General features: G+C 47.1%; 1 protein-coding gene across 25 annotated transcripts in view, besides 1 other annotated feature; it reads left to right on the forward strand.

The window, feature by feature from the left end:
* CAMTA1 (calmodulin binding transcription activator 1) overlaps nucleotides 1-13,798 on the forward strand; it is a 984,253-nt gene that overhangs the window by 492,406 nt on the left and 478,049 nt on the right. The window lies entirely within an intron of this gene.
* Nucleotides 6,672-7,173: an enhancer, noted in NCBI's record as "H3K4me1 hESC enhancer chr1:7344591-7345092 (GRCh37/hg19 assembly coordinates)". NCBI's record gives its function as "activates a minimal SCP1, AML or CMV promoter by ChIP-STARR-seq in naive H9 embryonic stem cells {active_cell/tissue: H9 hESC(naive)}" and the evidence as "EXISTENCE:reporter gene assay evidence [ECO:0000049][PMID:30033119]".

The following is a 13,798-nucleotide window of genomic DNA, read 5'->3' on the forward strand; positions in this document are numbered from 1 at the left end:
TTTTTAAATGACTCTGTGTGATATCATATACTTAACCTGTTCACTGACATTAGACATTGAGACTATTACTACTATTTGCCATTAGAAATCACACCGTGAGAAAGATCCTTGTATCTTTATTTATAGTAAGCCCTCAACAAATATTTATTTGAGGAGTTACTAGGTACCAGGCTTTTCATACCTGAACAATTGTTTTCTGGAGAATATTCCTAGAAATGAAATAGTAGTGCTGGGTTAAACGATATAACTGCCTAAAAATTAGCTCCATATGGCTACATCATCCTTCAGAAAGGCTGTGTTAATTTACAACTGCTCTAGGGATGTTTGAGAAGTCCTGCTGATTAACAAACATGCCCCACCCCACAGGACTTGGCGCAGGGTGGGGGCCACACCTGGTGCCTAGTGTTATTGACTTAGTGATGGGTGAAACCTTTTGTTCAGCAAAAGTCATTTGTACCACATCACCATGGGGATGTGTGTAAAGCATTCATCTAGCTCATGGAGGGGAACTGTACAGCTCACTCTAGTGTCTTCTCAGAGTTCTGTAGTAAGTTTTCCAACTTGCCATTCTGCCATTTATTAACTACAACAATAAAAAAATGGAAGCTACCCTTTACTACAATAAGTGCTTTTCAGGCATTATCTGAATTTTACAACAACTCTGCAATGTTTCATCGATGAGAAACTGAGGCTCAGAAAGTTTAAATAATTTCCAAGGTCACTTAGCTCGTCACAGATCCGTGGATCAAATGCCAGGGTCCAGCTCTTTCTCTAAGTCCAATCCTGAGTTTTTGACTTGAACTTGTCAGTCTTCGTTTTCTAATCATCCTGATTCTGGGGTTCATTTACTCTAGAAATATTTATTGAGCACCTTCCACAGGCCAGGAAGGGGAATAGTGGAGAGCTGCGTTGACAAGGTCTTGGCCCTCACGTAGCTTCCAGTCCGGTAGAGGAGATACAATTTAATCATCCAATTGTATGAAAAAACTGTGATTACTGCCATAGAGGAAAAGTGCAGGAACTCTAAGATCTGAGAGCAGGAGGATATGATCTAATCTGGGGATCAGAGAGAGAAGCTCTGAAGAAGTGATGTTTCACTGAGGTTGCCAGTTAATGGGGCTGGGGAGGGCCATGAGGAGAAGGGGAAGGCATTTGGTGGGGGAAAGGGATATGCAAAGGCCCTGGGGGCCTGAGGAAGTGTGTGCTGGAGGAAATGAAGGGTGGGCAGTTCAGGTACTTAGAGCGCAGAGCCTGAGGGGGCTGGTGAGCAGGTGGGCACTGAACCCCGCAGTGCACCTATGTGAAAGTGTTTGGAATGTAACCTGAGAACGATGGGGCCCATGAAAGCTTGTAAGCAGGGCAGTGTCATCCTCTGATTATTGTAAAAACATTGCCCACGCTTCTGCCAGGCACATCCACTGGGGTGGGAGGCAGATTCACATGGGAGGGATGACTTATTGGTTAAAATAGGTGGTCCCAGTTCTGTTTCTCTTCTCCTTATTTTTCTTTTCTGGTGAGTTTCTTCTCCCTGTGCTAACATTCTGGGCCTCAGGCTTAAGTAAGAGGCAGATGGCCCGGGTCTTGGAGCAGGGAAGCCAGGGGACCGGCAGCCCCAAAAGCTGTCAATGTCATAAGTCATCCTTGCAGAGCCGCAGCCACCTTCTCGGCAGAATGTCAAGCAGCTCGGTACGGGGAGCAGCTGCTCTGCATGGCTCTGAGCATTGTCAGAACACCATAAACAAAATGGTCAGGTTTCTGCAGAGATAACCTCCTGGCCTCCGACCCCATGCGGCACCGTGCCGAGGGCCAAGCTCTCTCTTCGGCATCTGTTTTTGGTACTTCCAAAGCCCACAGTGTGGGGCTTTGGGACGTTTTCAGCCTGAATGCTAAAATGCCTGGAATCAAGGCAAGAGGAGGACTTTGAGAGTTGGCTTCCCTGTGTCTGTTCCCTGGAATGAGAAGAAGCCTGAGCTACAGCCTCAGGTTACTGCTGGTGGTCCCTCTAGACCAAAAAAAAAGAACTTGCCAAGAGAGACCCTTAGTATCCAGAGTCCCCTCCTCTCCTGGGGTTGGAAGGGAGAGCAGGAAGAGGGAGTGGCCTCTATGCCAGCCAGGTCCAGAGCGGGAGGGAGTGAATTGCACCAGGGAAGGAGCCTGCTCGTTGCTGGTAGAACTTGCAGCATCCAGACAGACCTCTCAGCCCTCTTTGGATGCCTTTATCCTTGCAAATGTCAGAGATGCTGGCTTTGCAAAAACCAAAAACCAAAACCCAGTAACCAGTCTTCCCAGCCTGATGTGTGTCTGTGCCCTTTGCCCACCTGGGCACTGAGGCACCAAGGCACCTGGCCTCACACTCATTTCCTTTGCCCCATCTGGCTCGCCAGTCAGCGAGAAGCCCTCTGGTTTTCTGAATTGCGCCCACCAGGGAAGGAACACTGAAGATTTCATCTAGTCAGCTTTCCCTTGGCTCATTTGAGGAAGTGCTAGAATGCTTCCCAAGCTCCCTGCTTATAGGGTAAGACCCTCCTGTCCCAAGTATGACATCCCTGGGGTTAGTAAAAGTCTATGACCTTAAGAAGAGGTTTCTGCAGAAGCAGCTTGGCTCTGGCTGTGCACTGCTGAGTGTAATGGTGGCAGGATGCTAAGGGTGGGCCCAGGGTGCCACGTGGATGTCAGAAAGAGCAACCAAGGGCAAGCCCTTCTTGGAGAGGCAGCATTATAATTGCCATGTGGCACCGGTTTGCAGTCACTGTTCAGGTAATTGCTTTGTAATTGACTGCATCACCTTCTTCCTGTTTAATAAATAGCACAAATGAAACCAACCCGCCAGTGGTGGGATTGTAATTCAAATTCCATTGACTATAGTTGCGCATTTTTCATTTAGCATGTAAAGGCAGTTTCTATGTAAATTATTTCAAAAGGTTCTCCATGGACTAATGACATTAGCGTCTGGAAGGATAGGAATTGTCATAGTAATTGATAGGACAATGGCGTGGTGCATCATGGAGAAAGAAATTGGCGCTGTAACTTGTACACTTTTTAAAAATAAAGCCAAATTAGGAGAGAACTGCTGAAAAACAAAAACACATATTTCATAAACAAGAATCCAAAATGTGACACATTTGTTTTGACTTAAAGAGCCAAATTATTTACAAACACAGAATTAATTATTCCATTGATGAACTTTCTGCAGAAAAATTATGAGCACTGGCAAATATGGACATATTCTCTTTTTATTCACCCAACCAGCCACTTTACCTAAACAAAGGGTACCTCTATGTCTAGTTCCCCTACTGGCAGCAGAAATTATATTAAAGACATTCGTTCAGTTTGAAAAACACAGACTTGTAACTTTTTTTCTTTATAACTGGCAGAATATTAATTCTGCAAACCAATTCAAGAATCTCTTTGAAATGTGGCCTTTTGGGTTTCAAGGTTGTAGGTATATATTTAATAAATTGAGTTGCTTTACAGTTAATATGTCAAAGGCCTGGTCTGCCACATGGAGAAAATAAAAGTTGTAGAAACAAGAGTAAAACCTTATTACCAGGTAGGTAGATGTCCTGAAAAATTGGATTTCATCCCCTTGAATTTGAATCTCTTGTAAATTAAATATTCAGGGAAAGAGAAGTCAAAGCAGCAAAGTAGGAAAACAATCAAAACTTGAAAACGAGCATGTTCTTAAATGAAAGAATTAATCATGCTAAATTAGAAAAAGTATTAAAATAGTTTTAGATTAATGCAGACTGTGAGTATCAATATAATTGCAGCAGCTTAATTTGGCATAAAAAGCATCTAATGAAATATTTTAATATCACTGTCCATTCAATTTACCAGCTTGAATTTCACGGGGTATTAAGTGGTTTTTAAATTATCATTGCAAAATTTTCCAAATCCATGTGGATTTTTTTTGTTGTTGTTTATGGAAGGGGAAAGAAATTGTGTGTGTGTGTGTGTGTGTGTGTGTGTGTGTGTGTGTGTGTGTATGATTAATGAGTCTAAATCCAAATTTCTACTTTGTGGAACGGGTAGAAACCAACCCCCTGTTCTTTCCCATTGTGCCAGAAATCCATGTTCCTCCGCTTCTTGGACCTCGGCCACCCAGGGCCAGGGCTTTCTGTGTCATCCTGAAGAATGCACAGCTGCTCCCAAGGAGAGTCAAAGAGCAGAGAGGAGCCTTAGCAGCTATTTAGTTCAGCCCTTTATTTTGCAATGAGGGAGATGATCACTCCACCTTCTTATAGAAAGAGAGCTTTAGGGAGCCTCATTTCTTCTGGATTTTCTGACTCATAGACTATATTAAAAATACCTCAGTACACTAGAGAGGAACTCCAAATGGCAATTGTCGAAGCACGCTTGCCCAGGGATCCTGCAGGCCCAACCACCTGTGTCGCCTGACATGGCATTTTTCTGGTTTTCCAGTAGCTCCAAGACTGGGTTCTTCCATGCACCCCATCTGCTCTTGCCCCTCTGCCCAAGTCCAGCCTTCTCTCTCCTCCAAAAGTCTCTTTCTCATTGCCTGTAGCTCTCACCTCTCTGATAACTGCCCCCAGATCTGGAAGAGCAGAATCACCAGGCCAGCAGGGACCAGCGACTGCCAGTTTACTCAACTGGACGGGTGGTTTCTATTCTTCATCTCAGCTGAATTTCTGGGTAGCATTTGATGACAGTTCATTTCAGCCTCTTTCCTGAAACTCCTTTTCTAGGCTTCCTTGACCTAGAAATCTGAGTCTTGGTGACCTCTCTGGCCACTCCTTCTGGATCTAAAGCTCTAGAAGGACTCCACGTGAAGGCTGAGTAAAGAAGGATATGCCAGAAAGGAGAGTTGGGGCTGCCCTCCCTCAGGGAGCCTGCAGTGAGGGAGGGAAATAGATTGGGCAGGGGGTGGCAGTGGGATAGAGGTGACTGTATTTACACAACACTGGGGGACAGAGGGATATGGGTTTGTTGCCTATGGCCATCAGGAACAATGATAGTTTTCAAACAGGAAAGCTGCAGTCCTAACACCCTTGTGTCTCGTGACATAGCCTTTTTCTGGTTTTCCAGTAGCACCAAGACAGGGAGCTCCAAGACAAGGACAATATGACAAAATGTCCGCAAGATTCATGTAGGATGATGCTCATTACAGCAGTATTGATAATAGTGGGAATTTGGAACAACCTAACTCTTCAATGATAAGGAACAAGTTAAATAAATCATGGTACTCTGCAAACATTTGTTGAATAAATAATTATATAAAAGAGCATAAAGAAGAGTAAATACGAAAAAAAATCTCTAACCTCACCGCTGCAGGCAAGGATTTTGTGTATTCTCACCCTTCTCCAACCTCCACCAAGATGCACTTTACACACTGCCACCCCAACTACAGGAGACACCCCACCTGTGCTTTTCCACATAATATTATGTTGTGCATGGTTTCTCATGTCCTTGCATATGCTTTGTGATCCCATCTTTGAATGGATGTATATTGTTCTGTGGTCAGCCCTCCTCAAGTTTTGGGCAAAACTGTCTTCCTTTCCCGCTCTCTACTTTCTCCGAGGTTCCAGCTCATCCATACCTACAGCTCCAGTGGTACTTGCACACAGGTGACTCACACTGCTCTATTTCTGTCCCAGTCCTCTTCTCTGGGCTCCAGATAGGAGAGTCAACCACCCATCCCATGGTGGATGTCAAATGTTCACTACTTGACGTCTCCCCTTAGACTCTTTGGACTCCCCTAAGTCCAAACCCCAAGTCATGATCTTCATCTTCAAATATCTTCATTTCATGAAAGGAAGCACCATTCATTCAGTTGTGCAAGTCATAAGGCTGGTAGTATTTCCTGATACCTTCTTAGCCCTCTATCACCCCCTTGTCCAAATAAACTCCATTCCCTTTTCCTCTGGGAGCTGTAAAATCCAACCTTTTCCTCTATCCATCTCCTTGGTCATCATAGCAGCCCAAGCTACCACCACCAGGACATCATCTTTCTACATGGACTGCTTGCCCCAGCCTGTTCTCCATGCTGCAGCTGAGGGGTCTTTCCACAGTGCAGACCCCATCAGTCCCTGCTCCGTTCTTAGGGTGAGATTTGTGGCTCTCTGGTTAGGAACTAGGCATCTGGAGCCACTTATCCAAGTTGAGTCCCAGTTCCTCTTCCTCTCCCTACCTGTGGGGCTTGCCCCTGTGCTCCCGTTTTCTCATCTATGAGGATTAGTGAGTCAATCACAGCCACTGTCCTTAGATCAGCCCTGCCACATAGAAATGCTGTTTCGGTATTTGCTGCTGTTCTTCTTCTTCTTCTTCTTCTTCTTCTTCTTCTTCTTCTTCTTCTTCTTCTTATTATTATTATTATTATTATTATTATTATTATTATTATTTCTGAGAAGGAGTCTTGCTCTGTCACCCAGGCTGGAGTGCAGTGGCGTAATCTTGGCTCACTGCAACCTTTGCCTCCCGGGTTCAAGCAATTCTCCTGCCTCAGCCTCCCCAGTAGCTGAGACTACAGGCCCGTGCCACCAGGCCCAGCTAATTTTTGTATTTTTAGTAGAGATGGGGTTTCGCCATGTTAGCCAGGCTGGTCTTGAACTCCTGACCTCGTGATCTGCCCGCCTTGGCCTCCCAAAGTGCTGGGATTACAGGCGTGAGCCACCACGTCCAGGCTTGCTGCTTTTATTTTGCTATTGTTATCTGTAAAATAGAGACTGTAGTGAGAAACACATGGGTTAATATGGGCAGAATGCTCACAAGTGTGCTAACTGCAGAGTAAGTCCTTCATGCGACGTTTGCTGTGGCTCCTGGCATTCCAGCCTCTCCTGGGCCGTGGGCTTCTTCCTTCCCTGTGCTTAACTGGATCTGCAGTTCTTGTGCTCGCCACATGCCCACCCACCACAAGGCCTTTGCACGTGTTCTGCTCCTGCCTGGAACACTTTCCTCGCTTTACCTCCTTCTTGCACTCTTCAGGTCGTAACTCAACAACTTCCTGACCTCACTGATGGGGCCACTTCTCCCTGGTGGGGCCACTTCTCCCTGGTGTCTGGTACTCCTTCCTAGAGAATCCACAGAACTCGTGCAAGGAAGGATAGCCCAGTGGAGGGAGCCCTCCGCTTTCCAGCTCCATATGTGGGGACAAGACACAACTCAAGCAGCCCTCTGGGAAACCCATTGGTTTCCAAGACCCTCCCACAGGGTGCTTGGTGGCCTCTGGTGGCTGGCCCTCCAAGGCTCCTTTTGGTCCGGCGGCCCCAGTGGCCATGCGTCCTAGAGAGAGATGTTCAGCCTGATGGGAGAGAGGGATCCAAGGATAGATTGTTTACAGGCAGCTCACTTCCATGCACCCCTGCCCCTATCACCACTGATGATGAGAAAATGAGTCAGTGAGAGCCCATTTCCTGTTCTTTGTTTTCTTTTAATTTGAGAGAAGATGGAGAGAATCCTTGTCAGGTAATTACACCCCAGACTGGAAGGTATTGGAGCAGCTTTCCAGCCAAGTCTGGGACTCGCACTGCATTTCATGGTGGGTGGCGCTGATGCACCTTCGGGAAGTTCTGCGACGTGCAAGCTGACCCTGGCCATGGGGCTGCCTCTATGGGAACATTGTAGCCCATGGCACTATTCACTTGGGCCTACGGATGATCAGTGGTTCTCGCCAAACTATCTGAAGGGAGTTCCCAGTGCCTCGCCTGTCTCATGGCAGCTCCTCTGAACAGATGCTCAAAAGCTGCCTTTTTTTCTTTCTGAAATACAGACCACAGATTCTATGGTCTTTAAAGAGCTGAGCTATTTTAAAGATGTTGGTACAACAGAACCCTCTAACCTAAACATCACATAAGGGGAACTCGGCGCACAGGTGAACCAGCTCCAAGATCTAGCCTATCTCTTTATTCTAAACCAGAGATTCACATGGGCCTGCTTTTGGGGTGAAAGTAGGGCCCCTGAGCCCATAACGACACCTGTGTACCTGGCAGCCACTATGATTAGGTGTCACCTGTTTGGAGCCCCACTGATGGCTGAAATCCCCACCTCAAAAACTAGAACCAACAGGAGGCTCATGATAGGGGTGACCATGTACATTTCTAAATCTGCTACAAATTCCCAGGCCACATGTGTCCTCTTTTCACAGTGTAGAGGCCAGGAAAGAGACCTGCCCGCTAGCATGCTTTCTCTAAATCAGCTGTTTCAGATGTACCCACCACCGGGCCAATGGAGCCTGCTGTGTGCCAAGCACCATGCCAGATTCTGAAGACTCAGGGACCAGCGCCACATGGTCTCTGTTCTTGAGGTGTGCACAGCCTGCGTGCTGAGGGGATGAGTGAGCCTGCTGGTGGGGGGCAGAGAGGAAAGACCTCACAGGGAGATTGGCATGTGATTGGGCCCTGAAGGGTGAGGAGGAGCAGGTCAGGCAGAGATGGGCATCTGGTGGAGTTGATGGCACAGGTGGAGGGGCGGAGGCGCCAGGGTGTGCCACGTGCTTTTAGAGCTGCCCCAGCAACGATTCTTGATTTGAGGTCTATGGGTGGTCCTGGAAGATCGTCATGGGGGTCTTCAGCTATTGGTGGCATTTTGAAGGTCCAAACAGAGATCTTCCATGACAGGTGCATCTGTGGCCGTGGCATCCAATCTCTTCTCTTTGGGCTGGAATCATGAACGTTCAGGGTCGTCACCCTCACCCTGCTGTCATCCTCTGAGGCTGGGGAGATGTACCTGTGGCTGACGTTAATGCACAGAATCATTGTAGTATCAATGCAGGATTTTGGCAGCAATGCGTTTCTATAAGAAGTGGAGATATTTGGAGCTGCTGGGCTAGAGTACAGGTGTCGTATCTCAGAGCATGTTAGGCTAAGATTGTAAAGGGTCTTAAATGACCCCAAATATCCCTGCCTAACAGTCAACAAGTTAGAGATTTGGGGAGCTATTGAGGCTGAGTGGAAAGAGTGAAAATCCCAGCTCTACACTTCTGAGTAGTAAGATATCAGGCAAGTTATTTAACTTTCCTAAGCCTCAGTTTCCTCCTCTGAAAATGAGGACAGAGGTGCTCTGAGGACTCCAGATTGTTATGGAGAGTTTAGCTCAGTGCCTTCCATCGACTTGACACTCAGTAAACAGAAGCTGGAGCTACTCTTACCTCTATCACTGTAAGTGTCAAAATTGTGATGGTCACTCTGAGACTTACTCCATCAGTAAGTAAATTAACTCATCTGATTTGATCTAGCAGAGATCAGCTGCCTGGAGCAACTGCAACTTTTTTTGGAAGATCAGAGAATGAGGAAAAGCTAAGTTATTTTTATCAGGAAACACTCGGCAAGGAGAACAGGCTTGGGGTAGAGAGAGAGGTGCTACCGAGAGGGATTTCAGCAGGCGGGGCAGTGTGACCTCAGTGAGCAGCCAGGGGGAGACAGGGCCCAAGGGCGCCCCTGTGTTCTGCAGAATGCATGGCAGTGTGATTCAGGGAGAATATGGCCATCATTGTGAATTTGTTTTAGGTCTCAAATCGGATGTCATCTCCCTGTGATGGTGTGGACATGGGGCGATAGTCATCTGAGAGGGAAGACCTCTGAGCATCACATTCTCATGAGATTTGTAACTGCTCTTGGGACTGAGTTGAGCTATTCTAACCAAGTTCCTCTACCTTTCTCCCTTTCCTTCTTCTCCTTCATCATCATCACCACTGATATTTTTACACGTTGTATTGGTCAGGCTAGGTTAGGCCATGTGCTGGTAATAAACAAGCCCTTTCCTTCTTCTTCTTCTTCTTCATCATCATCACCACTGATATTTTTACATGTTGTATTGGTCAGGCTAGGTTAGGCCACGTGCTGGTAATAAACAAGCCCTGGAATGCCAGTGGCTTAACAAGTTCAAGTTTATTTCTCACTCACATTGCAACTCTTGTGAGGCAAATGCTGCATCAGAGTGGTTCCCCTCCAGGTGGTGACTCAGGGATCCTGGCTCCTTCTATTGTGTGGCTCCACCATCCTAGAGTCCTTGTTTCTCATCCCTGAGGACAGGGAAGAGAGTGAAGGTGTTGTAGCAGCCAGGCCTGGAAGTGGCATACATCAATTTTACCTTCATTTCATTGGCCAGAACTCAGTCCCATGGCCAGTCTAACTACAGAGGAGGCTGGGAAATACAGTCTTTCTTTGTCCAGGAAGAGAAAATTATCCAGTTAGTTTGGTGACTAGTTAGTTTCTGCATGTGTGTATTATCTCACTTAATTTTCTAGAGAACCCCATGGACCAGGTGCTATTATTATCCGTATTACGTATGGATAACTTGAAGTACAGAGAGGCCACCTGACCTTCCCTGATAAGCAGTGGAGCCGGGATTCAGGAATAAGACTGTGTGACTCTGAAGCCCACACTCGTAGCGCTCTGCGTGCTGGGCACCGTGGGGGTATGAGAATACACGGCACAGTTCATTCCCACACAAAGAGCTTATAATCTAGAGTGCTTTCCTAACAGGAAGGGGTTGCTTTTTGTCTCCAGAGCACTTTATCTCTATTTTACTTTGCATTGTGGTTATTTAATTGATCTCCTCAACTAGACTTGAAGTTTCAGAATTAATGTCAGACGTTCATCTCTGCATTGTCCATAGCCCAAAGGATACTTAGTGAACACTGGTTGAATGTTCAACCACCAGTTCAACCACACTGGTTGAGTGTGGGCCGTTCAGTCAATAGAGAGTTTGGGGTTGTGGGCATGGAAGAGGAGAGGCAGGCAGGAAAAGACTCAGGACAGGGCAGTGTGCTGGATGCAGGAAAACCAAGGGTGAATCAAAAGTTGAGAAGGAAGAGTTGGTGAATTGTGCTATGAGCAACAGAAGCATACTGGGGAAGAGGACTGAAAGAGAGCAGTAACCGTGAGATCCCTGGTGCCCATGCAAAGCCCAAGAAGTGATGAGCAGAAGCCAGAAAGCTAGGGCTGGAGCAGAGAGCAGTGAGAGGTGGCTGCAGCCAGCACAGGCGGCTCTCGTGAAGCATTTGGTATTAGCGGGAGAGTTGGGGAAGGAGGATCAAAGTCAGGATGAGTCTATTAGTCTGTTCTTGTATTACTACAGAGAAATGCCTGAGATTGGGTAATTTATAAAGAAAAGAAGTTTAATTGGCTCCTGGTTCCACAGGCTGCACAGGAAGCATGATTCTGGTATCTTCTTGGCTTCTGGGGAGGCCTCAGAAAACTTACAATCATGGTGTAAGGCAAAAAGGAATCTAGCCCTTCACATGGCCAGAGCAGGAGGAAGAGAGGGGAGGGAGGTGCCACACGTTTAAACAATCAGATCTCATGAGAACTCACTCGCTGTCATGAGAACAGCACCGAGGAGGAAATCCGCCCCCATGATCCAATCACCTCCCACCAGACCCCACCTCCAACACTGGGGATTACAATTCAACATGAGATTGGGCAGGGACACAGATCCAAACCATATCAGTGAGGGTGGGAGTTTTCCAGCCTCTTGTGTCTGAGCAAAGGGAAATGAGCAGGAGGGGTGAGAATGAAAAATAGAGGGAGAAGGTGTGGTTTCAAGATCCAGTCCCAGACGACAAAGGAAGACAAGAGGATGAGATAACAGGAGAAGGACTGTCCTTGGAGAGGAAGGGGCACCCTGTCCTCGGAGGCAGGTGAGAAAGAGGAACAGGGGCTCCATTTCCTCATCTATAAAATGAGATGCCCCGGTTTGCACTCTCACCTTCGTGTGTTTGTGGGCATCCTGGGTTGAATAGTATCCTCCCAAAAGGCATGTCCACCCTGAACCTCAGAATGTGACCTTCTTTGGAAATAAAGGCTTTGCAGATCTAATTAATCATATTAAGTGAGGTCATGCTAGATTTGAGTGGGCCCTTATCTAATGACTGGTGTCCTTAGAAGAACAGGGACCTTTGGATAGGACACACAGACTCAGGGCAGGCATGGAGAGACTGCGTGAAGACAGAGATAGAGACTGGAGGGATGTGTCTTCAAGCTGAGAAACACCCAGAATTGACACAAGACTGGAAGCTGGAAGAGACAAGGAAGGCTCCTCCCCAGAGCCTTCAGAGAGGGCGTGGTCTTACCAACACCTTAATCTTGACCAAGCCTTCAGAGAGGGTGTGGTCTTTACCAACACCTTAATCTCTGCCAAGGCTTCAGAGAGGATGTGGTCTTACCAACACCTTGATCTTAGACTTCTGGCATCCAGAACTCTGAGACAATAAATTGCTCTTGCTTTAACCCACCCAGTTTGTAAGCAATAGGTTATGGAAGCCCTGAGAGACTGATATAGTGGGGAACATGTGAGGTGCATTGGAAAATACTGGGAATTGTACAATTGCCATGAAAATGTGCAGCATTTCCATCAGAATGATTATCAAGTCCATCGTGTGGACATGGCCTGGCAGAGGGAAGGGATGGGGTGAGGAAACTCGGTTCTGCCTTTGACAGTGCCTTCCTTTGGCCTGGAGCTTTTTCCTGCATCATATTCAGTCCCTCTGGATTTAGGTGATGAAAACACCATGTTCTCTTTCCTTACGGGTTGCCCCTCACCTCAGCAGAAGCAGTGCATGTCCCTGAGTTTTAGATTTGGAAAGAGAGATATATGTGGAGTAGTGGATGTTACTATATGTCACCCAGCTTTCCACCTGGGCAGGGGACACCTGCCTTCAGTGAGAGTAACTCGGGGCCTGGGATGTTCACTAGAAAGTTCCATACCTCTGGGTCTCTGTTGGGCCATTTTGCATTTCCAAATTATGTGTTGCAACCACCCCCCCCATGCACGTATTGCTTTTATCTTCCTGCGTGTATTGACACACATTTTTAGTGCTTTCTCCGCATATAAACTGACTGCTATCTTTAGCTTTACTTGCTGCGACGTAAATTATTCTCATTTTATTATTATTACCATCATCATTTTCATTATCACATGATGCCAGCAAGTGCTGTGGCTCTCGGGGACTCTCCGACAGATGACAGTCATAGAATGAAACTCCCAATGAATAGAAAACCCCTAACATTTATTCCATCGATACTTTTACCAACAAGTCTGAGGTTCCTTTTAACTTTACTGTCCTAAAATGTCCCTCATTTTGCAAATGAGGAAATGGGGGCTCCTGGGGGGGTGAAGTGACTCTCACAGGATCACTCAGCTCTCAGTGGCAGAATGGGAACTGACCCCTGGTTTCCCCCTGCAGAGTGCAGTGTCTTTTGTGTGGGATGAAACATGCTCCCAATCCCATTGCCACATTCCTCTTCTGAGTCTGCCGGGACTGCTGTGGAAGGTGCTCAGTGAAGCACTGGTGGGTGGGCTGCCATATCTGGGTTCCTTGCAGTGCACCTACTGAAAGCCTAGAAGGACCTTCACTCCATGACAGACACAGTACCCAGAGGCTGGGAAAGTTAGGGACGAAGACGGGCAGAGACAAAGGGGGTGCTGGACTCTGGCAGGATCATCCATCGTGCTGGAGTGGGGAATCTCCCTAGAGTGTATCTCGGGAGAGTGCCATGTTGTTAGGGAGAACCTAGGCTATGGAGTCAGCCTGACCCAGTTCTGCGCTGGAGTAGTTACGTGAAAACAGTGGGCCTCAGTCTCGTCATCTGAAATGGAATTTCAGTGCACAACTCCTAGGAGTTGTTCAGAGATGAATGTTAAGTGCCTGGCCCAGAGCCTGTTCCCAGTTGGCTGAGCTTTCCTCTGTGTGCACGCCCCTCATCACACCAGCAAATGGTCAGCTTGTCTTCTGGGCCCTAGCGATGAATTAAGCGCTGCTGGGAGATCCCCTCTGGGTGTTGCTTCAGCTGCCTGACCTCAGGAGGCTGATATCACAGCAACAGCACTCACTGGGCTTTAA

This window comes from Homo sapiens, chromosome 1 (assembly GCF_000001405.40).
Source record: "Homo sapiens chromosome 1, GRCh38.p14 Primary Assembly".
Classification (NCBI taxonomy): Eukaryota; Metazoa; Chordata; class Mammalia; order Primates; family Hominidae; genus Homo; species Homo sapiens.